Genomic DNA, 20627 nt, shown 5'->3' with positions numbered 1-20627 from the left:
AAATGCTTTAGCAATTACAAATACTTCAAGGCCAAGTATGGTGGCTCACGCCTGTAATCCCAGGACTTTGGGAAGCCGAGGCAGCTGGATTGCTTGAGCCCAGGAGTTTGAGACCAGCCTGGGCAACATGGCAAAACCCCATCACTACAAAAAAAAAAAAACAACAAAAATTAGCTAGGTGTGGTGGTGCTAGCCTGTGGTCCCAGCTACTGGGGAGGCTGAAGTTGGAGGATCACCTGAGCCCAGGAGGTTGAGGCAGCAGTGAGCTGTGATCATGACACTGCACTCCAGCCTGGGCTACAAAGTGAGACCCTGTATCAAAAAAAAAACTTCAGTGAGCATGAAACAAAGCTATTTAAACTATTTTAAATGAATGTCTTCCGATAACATATTAAATTCATTCCCTGCTTAAATTTTTGCGATTAGAAAAGAAAAAACAAAACAAAACAAAAAAAACACTGGCCAGGCGCAGTGGCTCATGCCTGTAATCCCAGCACTTTGGGAGGCCAAGGCGGCAGATCACATGAGGCCAGGAGTTCAAGACCAGCTGAGCCAACATGGTGAAACCCCATTACTACTAAAAATGCAAAAAGAAATTAGCCAGGTGTGGTGGCACATGCCTGCAATCCCAGCTAGTAGGGATGACTGAGGCATGAGGATTGCTTGAACGCGGGAGGTGGAAGTTGCAGTGAGCCGAGATCGTGCCACTACACTCCAGCCAGAGTGACAGAGTGAGACTCTGTCTCAAAAAAAAAAAAAAAAAAAAAACAAATAACACCATTATCTTGATAAAATAATCTTCAAATCTGTCAGCTCCTAAGACCATAAAGAGGCCTACATTCAAATGAAGCAAGACTCATTTACTAGGCTAAAAGAATGTAGATCTTCAAATGCTTTTTTTCAAATGTCAGAAAACAGCTAAGTAAGATGAAAAGGAAAAGTCCAAACATGAGGGGGACCCACATTACTTATAATAGTAAAAGACTGGAAGCAATCTTGTAAAAGTGGCACATTCACTCAACAAAAGACAGCTATAGTAACATCTGCACACAGTATAGTTATACATATGTCCAAAAAAAGGCAAAAAGAACACAAGACAAAGGAATATTAGTGAGGTGAAATTAATGATTTGTCCTCTACTCTCATAACTTGCAATATTCTTTAATTACTTTATAACAAAATGTATTTTAATTATCACAAAAAGCATAGGCCTGGCCTGTTGAAATACTTTTACAGTCCCAACATAAATGTCATAAAAGTTATCACTCATTTCAACTTTAACTTGGTTTAAGACGAATTTTAAGGTTAAAAAAAAAAAAAAAGGAAATTCTTCTCCCATCTATTATAACAGAAAACACCTTTTCCTTCGGCATCCACCTCATCTGGCAATACTAAATCTCTTCACTAATAAATACACCAACATTTTTGAGTAACTTTTAAAATATGATCTGTTAACACATTTACTGATGACAAAACTTCATGAAGCAAACTTAGGCTTCAATATTCACTTTATTACTAAACATTTTACCTAAGGAATTAACAAAGAACTTTTTTTTTTTTTTCCCAGAAAGCCAACAAAAGTCCAAGGAATTGTCTACATCTACCTGGCCCGTACACTATACATGAAACCTTGCAAAACATTATTTCTATGTGAATTATTCTTTCTATGGCATGTCTTCAAAAAAATTACAGATACTGCTTATCTGTAATTACAATTACTGCTGGCTTTTCTCCTTCCTAACAGGAATTTAAATTTCTAATTTACAGTATTGTGATAAACACTGCAACCCAATACAATTCTGAATCATTACCTATGCCATGAAATTAAGGTCAGCTTTACGTCTAATAGCCCAAAACTGAGGACAATCCAAATGTTCATAAATAATGTTATGAACAAATACTGTAAAGTCATACCTTGGAAAATTCTTGGCATTAAAAAACAAACTATTTGCATGCAGCAATACGGATGAATCACAGATAATTATGTTAAGCAAAAGATACCAGACCCTGCAGCCATAAAAAAGAAAAAGATCATGTCCTTTGCAGGAACATGGATGGAACTGAAGACCATTATCCTTAGCAAACCAATGCAGGAACAGAAAACCAAATACCGCATGTTCTCACTTAAAAGTGGCAGCTAAATAATAAGAACACATGGACACACAGGGAAACCACACACACTGAGGCCTCTCAGAGGGTGGAGGGTGGAGAGTGGGAGAAGGGAGAGGATCGGGAAAAATAACTAATGGGTACTAATCTATACCACAAACCCCCATGACACACATTTACCTATGTAACAAATCTGCACATGTACCCCTGAACATAAAAGTATTAAAATAGGAAAAAAAAAAAGATGCCAGACCTAAATATGATTTCCATTTACATGAATTTCTAGAAGACGCAAATATTAATCAATAAGTCACAGAAAACAGAACAGTGGTGGAGGAGGAAAAATGACTACAAAACAGCTGGGGGAAACTTCTGGGGATAATGAAAATGTTACATATCTTGATTACAGTAACAGTTACATCAGTGTGTGCATTTCTGAAAACTCATCAAAATGTACACTTAATGAGTATACTTAAAATAAAGGTATTTTATTGTATGTAAATTTTACCTCAGAAAAGTTCTTTTTTAAAAAGACTAAACTTACTAAAAGTAAATAGACTGCACCCCCCAAAAAAGCAATGTATTCCAAGACTAAGCTTTAATATTTTTTATGTTAAATTACCTTCTTTAAAGGTATTAAAACAGATGTTAAAGTTTTAGCTAAAACTTAAAACTGAAGAACATTATCTACAAATGTACTGTTGACACAGCACCCATTAGCCACATACATGTGGCTATGTAAAGTTAAATTAAGATTAACCAAAATTTTAAAATCAGTTCCTCGGTCCGGCATGGTGGCTCACGCCTGTAATCCCAGCACTTTGGGAGGCCGAGACGGGCGGATCACGAGGTCAGGAGATCGAAACCATCCTGGCTAACATGGTGAAACCCTGTCTCTACTAAAAAATACAAAAAAATTAGCCATGCATGGTGGTGGGTGCCTGTAGTCCCAGCTACTCTGGAGGCTGAGGCAGGAGAATGGCATGAACCCGGGAAGCGTAGCTTGCAGTGAGCCGAGATCGCACCACTACACTCCAGCCTGGGTGACAGAGCGAGACTCCGTCTCAAAAAAAAAAAAAGAGAAAAAAAAAAAATCAGTTCCTCAAGGGCACCAGGGGGAATAACTAACTTCACAGTGGACAAACCTAGCAAAGTATGAAGGTCAACATCAAGGATGATAAATCATGCTGACATATATACTCTTAATATGATGAAAATGACACTTTGTCATCTTCCTCTAAAAATCCATAACCCCAGTCTAATCATGAAAAACATCAAATTCTAAAAGAGAGTCATTCTACAAAATAACTAGTACTCCTCAAACTTGTCAAGGTCATCAAAAACAAGGAAAGACAAGAGAAACTGTCATAGCTAAAGAAGCCTAAGGATGCATGACTAGGTATAACATGGTATCCTGGATGGAATTCTGAAACAGAAAAAGACACTAGGTACAATTAAGGAAATGTAAATAAATGAGGGACTTTAATTAATGACAATGTATCAACATTGGTTTATTAATTATAACAATGTACCATAGTAATGTAAGATGTTAATAACTGGAATTCCGCACTATCTTCTCAATTTTCTGTAAATCTACAATTGTTGTAAAAACTAAAGCCTATTATTAAAGAAAAAAAGTTAAAATTTAGAAGTTAAGGCTGGGCCCAGTGGCTCATGCCTGTAATCCCAGCACTTTGGGAGGCCAAAGTCAGCCGATCACTTGAGGTCAGGAGTTCAAGACCAGCTTGGCCAACATGGTGAAACCCTGTCTCTGCCAAAAAATACAAAAAATCAGTTGCACATGATGGCGGGTGCTTGTAATCCCAGCTATTCGGGAGGCTGAGGCTGGAGAATAGCTTGAACCCAAGAGGCGGTGGTTACAGTGAGCAGAGATCATGCCACTGCACTCCAGCCTGTGAAACAGAACAAGACTCCACTTCAAAAAAAAAAAAAGAAGTTTTTTCTACACTTTTTAAAAATGCAGTTCCTCAGTCACACCAGCTAGTAGCATCTCAAGCGCTCAACAGACACAACTGGCTAGTAGTTATAGTACTGGATGGTGGAGGTTCATAGAACATTTTCTTCATAGCAGAAAATTATAACTCATCCTAACTTATAAACAAACTCTTATCTACTTAGCACTAAAAACTCAGTAATATCTAAAAACCTTCAGTGATATGTTTATTCCAATTTCAAACACTTATGTTTTTAAATCGTTTTTTAAAAAATCAATGTAACATACATAAATGTAACATTGAAACGTGTTCCACTCCTCAAAGCAGCAGTTTACAAAGTACAATCTATGGACCTCCAAACTCTTTCAGGGCATCCATGATGTGTTTTTTTAATAATACTATTATAAAATACTATTGTGATCTCATTTGCTAGTTTGAGAATCTTCTATTGCAAAAACCAAAATATTATTTGCATTTTTCAATGTGTTGACACTTGCACAGACTGTGCAGTGATGGGGAAAACTGCTGGCACTATAGCATGACTGAAGTTAATTGCAACAAACTGTACCAGCAGTCACTATATTCTTCACTGCCATGTGGCATGTACTCATAAGAGAGAGGGGGGAAAAGCCACTTTTATTACGAATGCCCATGACGAGGGAATAAAAACTATTAATTGTATTAATCTTGATCCCTAGGAATACATCTTTTTAATATTCTACATGATGAAATGGGAAATATGCATTTCTACTGCATACAAAGTCATGTAGAAGGATACTTAATGCAATTGTTTTGGGTTACAAGCTCAACTAGCTGCTTTTTTTCACGGAACATAATTTTGACTTGAAAGAATAGCTGCACACAATATGGGTGTCCAGACTAGGATATGTAGCAGACTTTTTTTTTCAAAATGAATGAGACTTCAACAAAAACAATTCAGAGTACCTGTTGCCAATTATAAAATTTGACCTTTCAAGCAAAAATTGGAATTTTGGAAAGTTTCTATTCGTCACCATGAGTTAGAAAGTTTTCCAATATTTAAAGGCTTTTCTGATAAGTGCTGATTTCAATGAAAGTGATTTTTTGATACTGTATAATGTAAGATATCCATTCAACATCGAAGATAGACAAATGGATTTTATATTTACAGAAGACAAACTATTGATATAACTCGGATTTCATATTGCAACTAACCTTTAAAAAAAAAAACTACCTGGTGATGCAGTGTTAAAGTAAAGCGATAAAAATTAAAAATACAAAAAAAGAAAAAAAACACTGCTGGTTGAATTTTAGTGTAATATCAAAGAATATCTGCAATTATCTGTAAAAGCTATTGAAATTCTATTACAACTATATATATATATATATATATACATCATTGTGAGGATAATTTTCCTTCATATACTTCAACCAAAGTAATAAATAGCAACAGACTGAATGCAGAAGCAAATATAACCCAGTTGCCTTCTATAAAGCAAGACATAAAAGAAATCTGTAAAAAGGTAAAACAATGCCAATTTTATCAACAAATTTTTAGAAATGTTTTAGAAAATAGGTATGTCATATTAAAAATATATTTATGTTAGCATGTAATGAGTTTGTTATTTTTAAATAAACTAATACCTTTTAGATTTCTTGATATGATAGATACAACTAAAAAACCAAAAGCTCTTTGGGGCCCTCAATAACTTTTAAGAGGGTAAAGAGATCCTAAGATCAAAAAGTTGATTAACATCTACCTCAGAGAAAGAAGAAAAAATGACAAAGCCTGGGCAACATGGTGAAACCCTATCTCTATAAAAAAATACAAAAAAAAAAAAAAAAGATTAGCCAGGCATGGTGGCACGCCTGGAGTCCCAGCTACTCAGGAGGTACAGGTGGGAGGATAGGCAGAGGTTTCAGGGAGCCAAGACTACACCACCACACTTGAGTCTGGGTGACTGACCAAGACACTGTCTTTAAAAAAAAAAAAAATTAACAAATAAAAAACACATAAATAAACTTAAAACATACATACATACCCTAGAGAGCATATCAAAGGGCATACAATATCACTGACAATAAGAACACCAAGATCTGGCCAGGCGCAGTGGTTCACACCTGTAATCCCAACACTTTGGGAGGCTGAGGTGGGTGGATCACCTGAGGTCAGGAGTTCGAGACCAGCCTGGCCAACACAGTGAAACCCTGTCTCTACTAAAAATACAAAAAGTTAGCCGGACATGGTAATGGGTGCCTGTAATCCCACCTACCTGGGAGGCTGAGGCAGGAGAATCGCTTGAACCCAGGAGACGGAGGTTGCAGTGAGCCGAGAATCGCACCACTGCACTCCAGCCAGGGAAACAAGAGCGAAATTCCATCTCCAGAAAAAAAAAAAAAAAAAAAAGAACACCAAGATCCAAAATGTGACACTTATTCAAAAAGTATCTAGTGTTTTCAAACTGTACGTTTTCCAAGGACAGAAAGACTTTTCACATTTTGGATTTTACTTAAATGATTGTTTGACTGCCTCTCTCACTGGGCTGTAAAGCCTATGAAGACAGAACAATATGTGTTTTGCTCAACCACCAGGGCTAGTCCAGCACCTGGCACAAGGCAATCATTAAACATTTGCTGGGTTTAAATTTTTTTAAAGACAAAAGACCCACAGACAGAACTCACTGACATGTCTATTCAAAACGCACAAAGATGGCTGGTATGGTAGCTGATACCTGTAATCTCAAGCATTTTGGGAGGCCAAGGTGGGAGGATTGCTTGAGGCTAGGAGTTCTAAACCAGCCTAGGTAACATAGCGAGATCCCCTCTTAAAATAACTTTTTAGGCCAGGCGCGGTGGCTCACACCTGTAATCCCAGCACTTTGGGAGGCCGAGACAGACGGATCACAAGGTCAGGAGATCGAGACCATCCTGGCTAACATGGTAAAACCCCATCTCTACTAAAAATACAAAAAATTAGCTGGGCATGGTGGCGGGTGCCTGTAGTCCCAGCTACTCTGGAGGCTGAGGCAGAAGAATGGCATGAACCCGGGAGGCAGAGCTTGCATGGAGCTGAGATCACGCCACTGCACTCCAGCCTGGGCGACAAAGCAAGACTCCATCTCAAATAAATAAATAAATAAATATATAACTTTGTAAAAATCAGCTGGAGCCCAGGCACAGTGGCTCAGATCTCTAATCCCAGCACTTTGAGAAGCCAAGGCGGGAGGATCACTTGAGCCCAGGAGTTCAAGACCAGGCTTAAGGCTTCACCTCTACAATTTTTTTTCCTCCAAGACAGAGTCTTGCTCTGTTGCCCAGGCTGGAGTGCAGTGGTGCAATCTCGGCTCACTGAAACCTCTGCCTCCCGGGTTCAAGGGATTCTCCTGCCTCAGCCTCCCAAGTAGCTGGGATTATAGGCCCGCACCACCACACCCGGCTAATTTTTATATTTTTAGTAGAGACGGGGTTTCACCATGTTGGCCAGGCTGGTCTTGAACTCTTGACCTCGTGATCCACCTGCCTCAGCCTCCTAAAGTGTGGGGATTACAGGCAAGAGCCACCGCGCCCGGCCTCTATGAAAAAATTTTAAAAAGTAAAATGCAATAAAAATTGGCTTGGTGTGATGGGCCGCGCGTATAGCCCCAGTTACTTAGGAGGCTGAAGCCCGAGAATCACTTTAGCTCAGGAGTTCTAGGCTGCAGCAAGCTGCCTGCATGACAGAGCAAGACCCTGTATCTAAAAAGAAAACCCAATTTAAAAGATGAAATTTTGCAATCAAAATTTACCTACTTACATAGTAATAGCAATCATAAAAGCCACCATTCACTGAGAGCCTACTTAATGCATGCCAGGTATTATATTTAGATTTTTCATGGATACAATAACCACAGGACATACTTTACAGATAAGGATAGTTAGGCTCCAAAAGGCTAACCTGTCTAAAGTTACATGTAACAAGTAACTTTTTTTTCTTTTTTTGGAATGGAGTCTCACTCTGTCACCCAGACTGGAGTGCAGTGGTGCAACCTCAGCTCACTGCAACCTCCACCTCCCAGGTTCAAGAGATTCTGATGCCACAGCCTCCCGCGTAGCTGGGATTACAGGTGCCCACCACCAACATCCGGCTAATTTTGGTATTTTTGGTAGAGATGGAGATTCTCCATGTTGCCCAGGCTGGTCCTGACTCTTGACCTCAGGTGATCCACCCACCTCGGCTTCCCAAAGTGCTGGGATTACAGGTGTGAGCCACCACACCTGGCCAGAAAAAAAAATTTTTTTTTTTTGAGACAGAGTCTCATTCTGTCACCCAGGCTGGAGTGCAATGGGAGGATCACTTGAGCCTGGGAGGCAGAGGCTGCAGTGAGGCTGTAGTTAGGACTACAGGCCCATGCCACCATGCCCAGCTACTTTTTTTTTTTTTTTTTTTTTAAAGAAATGAGGTTTTGCCATGTTGCCCAGGCTGGTCTCCAACTCCTGGACTCAAGCAATTCACCTGCCTCAGCCTTTCAAGTGCTGGAATTACAGACGTTAGCCACTGCACCTGGCCAAGTGACAAAAGATCAAACCCACATCTCTCTGTTCAAAAGCCCTCAAGCTTTTCACTACATATTGATATGGTACTCAATATTGCTTTTTTTTTCCAGTTCCTTGCAATTTTCAGAGGAATTCATTTTGTACATTGTCACTTTTCTTTCCCTTTCTCAATCTCCCATTCTGTTCACTGTCCCCAAACTCCCAACCCGTTGCACCACACAATTAAACAACATAGTCTGCCCTCAATTAAGGAAGAGTGTATGTTCTTATAATACATTATGGGAAACTTCATTAATAAAGGTGCAAATACTGGACATGGAGGCTCACGCCTGTAATCCTAGCACTTTGGGAGACCAAGGCGGGAGGATAGCTTGAGTCCAGGAGTTCAAGACCAGCCTGGGCAACATGGCAAAAACCAGTCTCTACAAAAATAGAAAAATTAGCCATGTGCAATGGTGTATGCCTGTACTCCTATACTCAGGAGGCTGAGGTGGGAGGATCACCTGAGCCTGAGAAGGTCGAGGCTGCAGTGAGCTGTGACTACACCACTGCACTGCAGCCTGAGGGACAGAGCAAGACCTTGTCTCAAAAAAAATATTTTTTTTAATTAAAAAAAAGAAATGCAAAAAGGCTGGGAATGGTGGCTCACACCTATAATCCTAGCACTTTGGGAGGCCAAGACAGGTGGATCACCTGAGGTCAAGAGTTCGGGACCAGCCTGGCCAACATGGTGAAACCCAGTCTCTACTAAAAATACAAAAATTAGCCGGGCATGGTGGCACGCACCTGTAATCCCAGCTACTAGGGAGGCTGAGGCAGGAAAATCGCTTGAACCCAGGGGGTGGAGGTTGCAGTGAGCCAAGATGGCACCACTTCACTCCAGCCTGGATGAAAGAGCGAAACTCTGTCTCAAAAAAAAAAAAAAAAAATCCCAATGGTAGAAGTAATACAAAAAGCTAAGAAGAGGGTCAGATTCCAGATCTAAAGTAAGGCTCTCTGATTCACTGATCTTGCAGGACGGCTGCTAATCCAGTTACACTGAAGACATCTGGTCATGGTTTGAGCAGCACCACACATCAGTTCCCAAGAAACTGATCATGAGAGCCCGTGGATATGGCTACTCTTTAAGACCTAAGCCATGATTTATCAAGTAGAAAGTACCAAGACAATTCCTTGTCAGTCTGTACAACCAAATTCTTGTTGTACAGGAGGAATTTTAAACCTCACAAACTTCTGCCAATTCCTTGTCAGTCTGTATAACCAAAGGACCAATACTGAAGAGACCAGAGCTCCCAAGACTTCCTCCTGGCCCAGGAGAATTTGAATAAAAGGCGCTTTGTTCCCGAAGAAGATACTAGCCACAATATCACTACAGGAAGAAAACGTATTGCTTTTACTATCATTCTTCCTACTGTTTCTGAACAATATAAACATTTCTCCTTCTCCTTTCTTCCTCCTTTTAGTGAAAAGAATAAAATTAGCAAAACCAAAATATTTTAGGAAAAATTACAATGCCATCAACATTGCCACATCATTTGAGAATTTTACCATAAGCCATTTTTTCCACAGAGGGATTCCCTAGATCCTGTGAAAAAAAAAATTTTTTTTTTTTTTTTTTTTTGAGACAAGGTCTTGCTCTGTTACCCAGGTAGGGATGCAGTGGTGCAATCACGGCTCAGTACAGCCTCAAACTCCCAGGCCTAAGGGAGCCTCCCAAGTAACTGGGACCAAGGCATGCATTACCACACCGAGCTAATTATTTATTTTTATTTATTTATTTATTTTTTGAGACAGAGTCTTGCTCTGTCACTCAGGCTGGAGTGCAGTGGCTCAATCTCGGCTCACTGCAGCCTCCACCTCTCATGTTCAAGAGATTATGTTCTGTCTCAGCCTCCCAAGTAGCTGAGACTACAGGCACGTGCCACCACACCCGGCTAATTTTTGTATTTTTAGTAGAGACAGGGTTTCGCCGTGTTGGTCAGGCTGGTCTCAAACTCCTGACTTCAAGTGATCCGCCTGCCTCAGCCTCCCAAATGGATGGGATTACAGGCGTGAGCCACCACGCCCCAGCCAAACTTTTTTATTTTCATAGAGACATGATCTCCCTGTTTCCCAGACTAGTTTTGAACTCCTGGGCTCAAGTGATCCTCCAGCCTCAACCTCCCAACATGCTGGGATTACGGATGTAAGCCACGCTGTGCTCAGCCCATGACAATTTTACACAAATTATGCAGAAATCCTTTTAAACCTCACAAAGCTCTGCATATGTCTTATGTCAACACCCAGATTTAAGAAAATGTACAATATGAGAAAGAACTCTTCTACCTTAAAAATGAATTCAGCTACAATCTGCTAAAAACAACCCTGGCTGAAAAAAAGTAACATAAGTCACATCTGTGGGCTGTCATTAGACATATCACTCATTAATAAATCACTTTTATTAATTCCTAGCCTTTGCATCAAAAATCTAGACATACTAATATAGCAAAATGTAAGTAATGAAATATTAGTTAAGCAATTAGATGTCACCAAGTATATATGAGCTACAAACAATAATAAACGGGCTGGGTGTGGTGGCACATGCCTGTAATCCCAGCACTTTGGGAAGCCGAGGTAAGTGGATCACCTGAGGTCGGGAGTTCCAGACCAGCCTGGCCAACATGGTGAAACCCTGTCTCTACTAAAAATACAAAAAATTAGCCGGGTGTGGTAGCACACACCTGCAATCCCAGCTACTCGGGAGTCTGAGGCAGGAGAATCGCTTGAACCCAGGAAACGGAGGTTGCAGTGAGCCAAGATCGTGCCATTGCACTCCAGCCTGGGCAACAAGAGTGAAACTCCATCTCAAAAAATAAAAATAAAGGCCACACACGGTGGCTCACGCCTGTAATCCCAGTACTTTGGGAGGCCAAGGCGGGCGGATAACCTGAGGTCGGGAATTTGAGACCTGCCTGACCAACATGGAGAAACCCTGTCTCTACTACAAATACAAAATTAGCGGGGTGTGGTGGCGCATGCCTGTAATCCCAGCTACTCGGGAGGCTGAGGCAGAACTGCTTGAGCCCAGGAGGCAGAGGATGTGGTGAGCCGAGATCACGCCATTGTGCTCCAGCCTCGGCAGCAAGAGTGCAACTCTGTCTCAACAAAAATAAAAAAATAAAAATAAATACACAGGACTTCAAAATGTTCCATTAAAAAAGTTTGCTTTAGTATTATCTAATAATTCTGGAATACAAAAATGTATTATTTCAAAAGTTTATACTGTCTCACTGATCCTTTCCCAAAAGTAACGGTCCCCACTACTACTCTAATAATGTGAATAGAGTCTATGAAGTTGGACCCTGCGAATTCTATATGGCTTCCTAATACTCAAGTGTAGCTTAATACTATAAAAAATATCCAGAAGTTGGCCGGGCGCGGTGGCTCACGCCTGTAATCCCAGCACTTTGGGAGGCCGAGGCAGGCGGATCACGAGGTCAGGAGATCGAGACCATCCTGGCTAACACGGTGAAACCCCGTCTCTACTGAAAATACAAAAAATTGGCCGGGCGTGGTGGCGGGCACCTGTAATCCCAGCTACTTGGGAGGCTGAGGCAGGAGAATTGCGTGAACCCGGGAGGCGGAGCTTGCAGTGAGCAGAGATCGCGCCACTGCACTCCAGCCTGGGCGAAAGAGCGAGACTCTGTCTCAAAAAAAAAAAAAAAAAAAAATCCAGAAGTTAAAATTTATAAAAAACAATCAATGGAAATAACCAATGAAATTTTCCACATGAAACTTCTCCTTTGCTTATGTCTGCTTGCTAAACCTTTACCCAGCCACTCCTCTGAACCTCCAAAACCAAGAATTTTCGTTTAAAAACTGCACTAAGAAGTCCATATGTGGTGGCTCACACCTGTAATCCCAGCACTTTGGGAGGCAAAGGCAGGTGGATCACTTGGGCCCAGAAGTTCAACACCAGCCTGGCCAACACGGCAAAACCCCATTTCTACTAAAAATTAGCTGGGTGTGGTGGCGAATACCTGTAATCTCAGCTACTCAGGAGGCTGAGGCACAAGAATCACTTGAACCTGGGAGACAGAAGCTGCAGTGAGCTGACATCATGCCACTGCACTCCAGCCCAGGCGACAGAGCAAGACTCTGTCTAAAAAACAAACAAACAAACAAAAAACAGCACTAATAAATTTCAACAAGAATGCTTGGTGAGACCTACTGGCCTCGTTCACCAAAAGATAGATAGGCATGTACGTTAACTCTTTAGAACAGATAAATCGAAACTGCAGAGCTATACACAGGACATTTTCCTAGAATGCTAGAAAAGGAAAAATGTCCAGAAGCTTCTCTGGGAGTCCACCTAGAATAGTCACCATTCTACCTTCTCTGAGACCTGCCCCCACCATTAGGAGTGGGACCTTTCAGCTAACTGTGCTTGCACTTCTAGACTCCAACCCTATGTCCATAACTAATGTGATCAATGACAAAGAACCGAACCAAGTTCAACCAGCCAAATTTCCCCCTCCCAAGAATATGAAATGTGAACACTGTGCTAGCATCAATTGGCTACTGGCACTAGAGCCTAAGTTCATATGTGGCTCCAAGAATTAAGTGGCCATTTGCTACCATGAGTTTGTGTTTGTTAAAGCAGAAAAGGCCAGACTGCACAAATACAATTAAAGCAGGACAAAAAGAGACAAGAGAGGACACTGGCCAGCTGGTAAAAAAGTGCTATCTACAAGTACTATGGCTCCTGAAAGCTTCCCAGTTTCTGGTTCATGTCCCTCATGAAGTCAACTGCTCTTTGGTTCTTTACAGTACTCCTGCCTCCAAAGCATTCCTCCTTGTTTCTTGCCAACAAAAAATTATTATGACAGTTTAAGACACAAATTCACACCAGGGTCAATGCAGAAAGGGTATGTTACTCTTACTGTTCATAAAGGATCTGACAGGCACCAGGGAAGAAGTTTCTTCTCACTACCCAAAACCTCAGGAGAAATAATAGGGCAAAAATAACTAAAACCTAAAAGCAGAAATTACCTATTTGCAAAAGCCCTCAGGCTTTGTGCTTCCCTTCCACACTTACCTGTTCAAAAATTCTGCTGGTTCACAGCAGGAGATTTGAGCAGACTTTGTTCAGATCCTTTTAACGCTGTAAATAATAAAAATATTAATATAAATCACCCAGCAACCTCTTAGGAAACTTTAAAAGTACAATCTTTCATCATAAATATACTTTGCAGAAAATGGCTTCCAAACCTGGTTAAAAGAGTAGATCACCTGGTGTATTTATAAACTAGGTTCCCTAACATCTAGAAAGTCTCAGTAGTTCTACAGTGGGACTGAAAACTATATTTTTTAACAAAAGTCCTAAGTGATTCTTATGAAGCTGTCAAATGAAGACCACCATGGGGTTTCAGGGAAGTCATTATTTGGGGTTTTCATTCAAAACCCCATTATAGGGACTTGGTATTAACTTTTAAAACCTACTGCCAGGCACAGTGGGTCATGCCTGTAATCCTAACACTTTGGAAGGCCAAGGAAGGTGATCGATTGAGCCCACGAATTCAAGACCAGCCTGGGCAACATGGCAAAACCCCACCTCTACAAAAATTAGCCAGGCATGGTGGCACATGCCTGTAGTCCCAGCTACTCGGGAAGCTGAGGTAGGAGGATCACCTGAGCCCAGGGAGGTCAAAGCTGCAGTGAGCTGCAACTGTACCACTGCACTCCAGCCTGGGTGACAGAGTGAGACCTTATCTCAAAAAATATATATCTAACAGAAAAACAAAAGCCGCATCACAGCAATATGCATCCTATGCAAATAATCACTGAGCCCTCAGAAATATGATCATTGCCAAAATGTCCAGGGAGCAAAGCTCCAAGTGTGCAAAATCACAACCTGCCTTTAATGCTCTGTTGGGGCAATATCTTAAAAATCCATAAGTTGGTGATATTCCAAGTGACAAGAGTGAATTGAAGTATAGTATCTTCAAATAGTTTCTTGGCTAAAATCAAATGATGCTTTACTGCTACTAACAAGTCAAAGAACAATAATTAACAATTAAAGTTGACAATTTCATTAACTACAGGAAAGCAACTAGATAGAGACAGATAGAGTTTTTTTTCTTTTTTTGGAGACAGAGTCTCGTTCTGTTGCCCAGGCTGGAGTGCAGTGGCACGATCTGGGCTCAAGGCAACCTCCGCCTCCCAGGTTCAAGCAAGTCTCCTGCCTCAGCCTCCCGAGAAGCTAGGATTACAAGTGTGCACCACCATGCCCAGCTAATTTTTGTATTTTTAGTAGACACAGGGTTTTGCCATGTTGGCCAGGCTGGTCTCAAATTCCTGACTTCAAGTGATCCACCCACCTCAGCCTCCCAGAGTGCTGGGATTACAGGCATGAGCCACTGCACCCGGCCAGTTATTTTCAAAATGGGATCTTGCTTTGTTCCCTCAGCTGGAGTGTAGTGGTACAATCAGAGCTCACTGTAGCCTTGACCTCCTGGGCTCAGCCTCCTGAGTAGCTGTGACTACAGGCGTGCACCACCATACTCAGCTAATTTTTTAAAAATCTTTTTTAGAGATGGGGGTCTCTCTCTGTTGCCCCGGCTGGTCTCATGGCTCAAGTGATCCTCCTACCTCAGCCTCCCAAAGTGCCGGGATTATAGGTGTAAACTACTGCACCCAGCCAAAGAAGAGTTTATTATCCATTTCTTCTTCCCTTTCCTCCTGCCCTTAAAAAATTACACAGTTCAGTGGGTAAAGTTGGATGACCTTTGGACATTATAACATGGCTACTTTTTTTGCAAAATTAAATCAGAAGTGGATGTGACTTTCTCAAATTGCATTCTTGGTGGGGCACAGTGGCTCATGCCTATAATCTCAACACTTTGGGAAGCTGAAGCGGGAGTATCACTTGAGACCAGAGGTTTAAGACCAGCCTAGGCAACATAGTGAGACCCCATCTCTACAAAAAATATTGGCCAGATGTGGTGGCATGGACCTATAATCCCAGTTACTTAGGAGGCTGAGGTGGGAGGATGGCTTGAGCCTGGGAGATTGAGGTTACAGTCAGTGGTGATTGCACCGCTGCCCTCCAGCCTAGGTGACAGAGCAAGACCCTGTCTTTTTTGGAGAAAGTCTTGCTCTATCACCTAGGCTGGAGCGCAGCGGTGCAATCACGGCTCACTGCAACCCCAAACCCCCAGGAGACAGGGTCTTGCTCTATCACAGGCTGTAGTGAGCCAAGATCAGGCCGCTGCACTGTAGCCTGAGCAACACAGTGAGATTCCATCTCAAATAATAATAATAATTAAGCTTAATGAAACCCCATAGTTAACAAGAAAATATAAAATTGTGTTCCTTATTTACTTAAAGTAGGGAAGTATGTAATACTTTGAAATACCTTTATAAAATGAAGTTTGGTCAATTAAGAGAACATTCTTTGTTTTTCAAACCTCTTTCTGCTTTCAACCTCACACAAAACTATAGGCAATTCAATAAAGGTATCACTTTACATTCCTACATAATTAATTTAGTATATTTCTCATTCATCTGAGAGCATGAATAAAATGTAAAAACAATATTTGGTCAAGAAACACTGCAATGCTAACTATAAGCAAGTTTATACATGAAATAAAAATCTCTAGTTTTAAAGAGATGTAATTTTTCAAAGTATTAAAAATGAATGGAAACTCTAGGACTTTTTTATCTTATTTTAAACTTCTATTTCTTTTTCATTTTATATATTTTTCCTTTTATTCTTAAATACTCTCCCATGCAAAAACCATAGGACTTTATCACCACAAAACCCTAGTGGGAATCAAGCAGTGAAAAAAAGCTTGAGTTCAGACTGTTACAACAATGACCAAACAATATGCCATGGTAATTTAAACTGAAGGAAAATGGACATTTAACTTGCCTCTAAGAGACCTGGGTTAACACCAACATAGGCTGTAGATTCAACCTAATGAGACTGGTCCCACTATAATCTATAAGAAATAGAATAAAACAGAAAGTATGGGAAATTTAATCAGCAGGAGCTAATGGAGAACTGCAAACAAAGTCAAAATTTGAAAATGGCACAAGTCAAAGATCCTACAGAAGGGCAATCATAAAAGCGACAGTAGTAATCTTTTTACCCAAAAAGGTTCTCCCAGATAGCAATCACTATCAACAGTGTCATCTTCCAATGTGAAGGTCAACAAAAAGAGAAGAGACAATATGGAGTATTAAAATGCAGAGTCATGAAAACAAATGAGCTGATATGACATCAAAGACATAATTTGGAAATGTCATTTCAAAAACACAATAGAAAAACAAGAGGAAGAAAGGCAATTAGTTAAAACACTACCTCATCACTACCATCACTATGCCTCCCTTTTAGCCAAGGAGTTGCATTCACACACTGACCTTGTAATTTCCATCTTCTCATGATTTTGAGGCAAACCTACTCCAAAGTGTTTTTCACATATGCATCTCACCAGCAAAAGCATTTCAAAACCAAAATATTAAAATTCCTCAGCTGAACTAAAATGAAAGAGGACATTTATGAAAGCTCAGTAAAAAGAATATGGAGATAAACTGGAAGGAAATCAGAAAATGTTTTTTGCAAAAAAATATGTCTATTAAGTATCAGACTAGACAACTAGTCTGAAAGGTAAAAGTGGAGGAATAAAAAACTCAGCACAAAAAGTTCTACACGTGTAAAATGTGAAGGATATACACATGAATTAGAGGAAGAGTCTCCGGGCTGGACAGCACAGTATTAAGAAAAATTCTTTACTAACCAGATTAAGGATAATTTGAGTTAATACATTGTTTCCACCTTTCTTCCTGGTATGTTCCTTAATCATGTGTCTAAATGTGAAAGGAAAATTTCTAATTTCCCTACATTTTCAAATATCCTGAAATCTCCAAAGAGCCTCCTTCTTGTAAAGCAATTGCTTTTGAAAAGTACTTTCAAGCAGTTTATCATCAATCTCATTTTAAAACGTTTACTTTTGAGAAAGATAATTCATTATAATTTCCTGAAATACTGAGCATCCTAAATTTTTCCAAATTAGCGGATGGGGATGGGAGTTAAGGGGGTTGGGGAGGCTGGCTGCTGGCCCAAATTTCCAGAATCTGATTTCCCTTTCCAAGAATCACAAGAGATAAGAAAAAAGAATTCAGGATAGCAAATAATCCATCTCATCTTAGTACCAAACAGTAAGTACACACATCTCCCACCAGTCTCCCACTCACCCTAGCCTCTCAGCCTAGGCTAGCCTCCATGCTTTTCCCAGTCTACTCCTGAATCGCTCCTAAGCTTTTGTCTCCGGGTCTTTGCTCTTGCTGCTCCCTAGCCTAGAGCACTTTTACCCCAGTATAGCTAAAGAAACAGCACCTTCACCTCTGTTGGGTTTTTCCTCCAGTGTTAGCTTCTCCATGAGGCCTTCTCAGGGCACTTAAAATTAACCCCTCCCCAAACCCCTATTATTCTATCTCCCTGACTCATTTTTTTCTTTCACATCGCTTACCACTACATCAAGTATTTTACCTATTTATCTGTCTAGAAATGAATTCCATACAGACAGGAATTGTTTGGTCTGTTTTGCTCCCAGTACTTAACAGTGTAGTAAGTGCTCAACAGGGTATCTGTCAAATAAATGAATGTATGAATGAATAAACAAATGAATGGAAGCACATGGTTCCTTCTCCCTCCCAAACCTCAAGAGTCTCAAATGCTGTCAGGTACCAAAAAGTCATGAAGCCCTCTCCTTTCTGGTGAAGCACTACCATCACCAGTGTATTCCTTGATGTTAAATTTCGAAAGAAACATCATGTGACATTTTTCCAGTTACGTGCCACTTTTAAATACTTTTCTAGTGTCCTCTTCTGTTGTCAACATCTGATGTAAAAGCCAAGTACATATTCCAGTTTGAGCACATCAGAAACTGCTACACCAACTAGTAAAACACGTAAAACCATCAATGAATAAGAGAAAGTATTTGTGTTCTAGGCAAAATGGACAAAATAAGGCCAAAGCTACAAATATTAGAAGGAGCAAAATTAATGTACAGAAAGAATGACAGAATTTTTTTTTCTAATCTAGGAAGTCATTTGATTCTAAAAAGGACATACTATATAAAGAAAGAATACCTTCCCCAGGCACAACATTGGGAATCAAAACTGCCTTAATTCAATGTATGTAGCTCTAGAAAGGAAGCTGTTCACAGCTTCTAGCCCCATACTCAATTTCTTGCAAGTTAAACTGGAATACTTACCTTTCTTACAGAGAGACTACGTGTGTTTAAGTGCTTTGACTTGCAGGAAAACGAAAACAACAAAATAAAAAACACAGTACTAAATAATTAACTGCAAAACAACGTTATTGCTTCCCAAACACGGTCATACGCTCCGCTTCTTTCATGCCCCCATTCCCTGTTCGCTTGATTTATGTTTCAGTCGCAAAACAAGTATTCAGAGTGCTTTTGGAAACTGACACTTAAGGATAATGCCCATTTCAACCTGATGTGAACATTTGGGTCCCCAAGGCTGCCATGGGCTCTAGTTTCCCAGCCTCGGTCCCAAGGTTCCGATCATGGTGGCTGCACCTCGCCTCAGGCCTGGTCCAGACCCAGTACTCTCGCCACGGAAGGAGTCTCCTCCGTCCAGATGCTCTGTGGGGAAGGCAGGAGCGCACCTCCCAGGGACCAGGTGTGGACAGGAGAGCCGGCAGGAGCAGCTGTCTGGCCGCAGCAGCTGTTACCGGGCCACCCCGAGACTGGGCGGGTGTCTGGCGCGGAGAAGCAAGCAGAGGAAGGCGAGCCCTCCAGCTCCGAGCAAGCCGGCCTGACACTGCCCACCCCACAACCCTCCTGCCTTGTTCGGCTCCCCTCGCAATGCCAAGAGGCCCTGGCCTAGGGGCTTCTCGGCTCCTCGCGGCCGTGACGCGCCAGGGCCCTCAGCGCCCCTCGCCCAGGAGGAGGCTCCCTCCGGCCCTGCACCTGACCTGTCCCGTCGCCTGACGGCCCAAGCCGGCCGGAGCGGCCTGTGGGTGTCCATGCGGCCGGGCCAGCTCGGGCAGGAGGAGCAGGGGCGCGAACGCGGACCGGAGACACAGGCGGCCCGGGACGCGGCGGCGGGGCCGGGGCGCGGAGCAGAGCCGGGCAGGGGAGCGACACGGAACGGCTGGTTACCTGCGGTCCGGGACAGGGAGTCTCAGAACCCCAGTCAGTCCTCAGCCTCAACAACACAAGATGGCCGACACGTCGCCACGCACGTCACGTGACCGCGCTCCCGCTCCGCCACGCCCCCTGCTCCGCCCCCGCCCCTTCCCGCTTCCCTCCCCACTCTCCAGTCTCCCACGACATCCTTCCTTTCCGCCACCACCCGCCCCTCTGCCCAGACACGCCCCTGCCCGAGACCCGGATGAAAGGTTGGAAGAGGGCGGGGCCGTGGCAGTGCGCAGGCTCCCGCTGACCCCTTGGCAGCAGCCGGGTACCTGCCCTTGAGTTGAGTGGTGTTGGTGTCCAGGGTTGGGCCCGGACCAGGCACCGTGTGACTCACTGTCCTGTACGCCCAGAGCTCTTTTGCAGTTCAAAAGCCTCTGCATCACTTGCGGGCTGGTTTTCCAAATTAGAACTTTTCCACAGCTTTTAGTCCGGCATTTTTCTTCGCAGTTGCCATCCTAGAGCGAATGGGAAAGCCGCAAAAGCTGAAATTCAAAGCAGTTTCTCTACTTGTTAACAGTTCTGGTAGAACTGGGAATTCATTTCAGAGTGTTGTACTGGGACAGCTGGAAAGGACTTGAGAGCTCTGATTCCTTCCTAGGACATCTGGGGCTATAACCCTTTTACCTAGAGATGAACTATTTTGGAATTGACAGATAAAATACAAGACACCCAGCAATATTTGGGGCACACACTGAAAAATTGTTCGTTGTTTTTCTGAAATTCAAATTTAATTGGGCGTCCTGTGTTTGCTAAATCTAGCAACTCTATCCTTAGGCATCCCATTCTTGCCTGTGTCTCCAACTTCTTCCTTCCTACAGGATCCTTCCTGTCAGCTTTAAAG

General features: G+C 41.9%; 1 protein-coding gene across 7 annotated transcripts in view, besides 4 other annotated features; it reads right to left on the bottom strand.

The window, feature by feature from the left end:
• The window catches only part of GIGYF2 (GRB10 interacting GYF protein 2), a 163275-nt gene extending 143463 nt beyond the window's left edge, over window positions 1–19812 (bottom strand). For 5 of the 7 annotated variants that reach the window (NR_103493.2, NR_103494.2, NR_103495.2 and 2 more), the window contains exons 1-3: window positions 19751–19812; window positions 16489–16558; window positions 13654–13719 (exon numbers count right to left, since the gene is read on the bottom strand). The gene's annotated coding sequence lies outside the window, so the exon portion shown is untranslated. The remainder of the gene's footprint in view (window positions 1–13653; window positions 13720–16488; window positions 16559–19750) is intronic. The other 2 variants (NM_001103146.3, NM_001103148.2) reach the window with 2 other exon arrangements.
• Window positions 18614–19308: an enhancer, noted in NCBI's record as "H3K27ac hESC enhancer chr2:233562545-233563239 (GRCh37/hg19 assembly coordinates)". NCBI's record gives its function as "activates a minimal SCP1, AML or CMV promoter by ChIP-STARR-seq in naive and primed H9 embryonic stem cells {active_cell/tissue: H9 hESC(naive and primed)}" and the evidence as "EXISTENCE:reporter gene assay evidence [ECO:0000049][PMID:30033119]".
• Window positions 19309–20005: an enhancer, noted in NCBI's record as "H3K27ac hESC enhancer chr2:233561848-233562544 (GRCh37/hg19 assembly coordinates)". NCBI's record gives its function as "activates a minimal SCP1, AML or CMV promoter by ChIP-STARR-seq in naive and primed H9 embryonic stem cells {active_cell/tissue: H9 hESC(naive and primed)}" and the evidence as "EXISTENCE:reporter gene assay evidence [ECO:0000049][PMID:30033119]".
• Window positions 19510–19839: a silencer, noted in NCBI's record as "silent region_12463". NCBI's record gives its function as "represses an Ori minimal core promoter by ATAC-STARR-seq in GM12878 lymphoblastoid cells {active_cell/tissue: GM12878}" and the evidence as "EXISTENCE:reporter gene assay evidence [ECO:0000049][PMID:35858748]".
• Window positions 19870–19959: a silencer, noted in NCBI's record as "silent region_12462". NCBI's record gives its function as "represses an Ori minimal core promoter by ATAC-STARR-seq in GM12878 lymphoblastoid cells {active_cell/tissue: GM12878}" and the evidence as "EXISTENCE:reporter gene assay evidence [ECO:0000049][PMID:35858748]".

Source organism: Homo sapiens, chromosome 2 (genome assembly GCF_000001405.40).
Source record: "Homo sapiens chromosome 2, GRCh38.p14 Primary Assembly".
Taxonomy (NCBI): Eukaryota; Metazoa; Chordata; class Mammalia; order Primates; family Hominidae; genus Homo; species Homo sapiens.
This window is presented reverse-complemented; position numbering and strand designations above follow the sequence as displayed.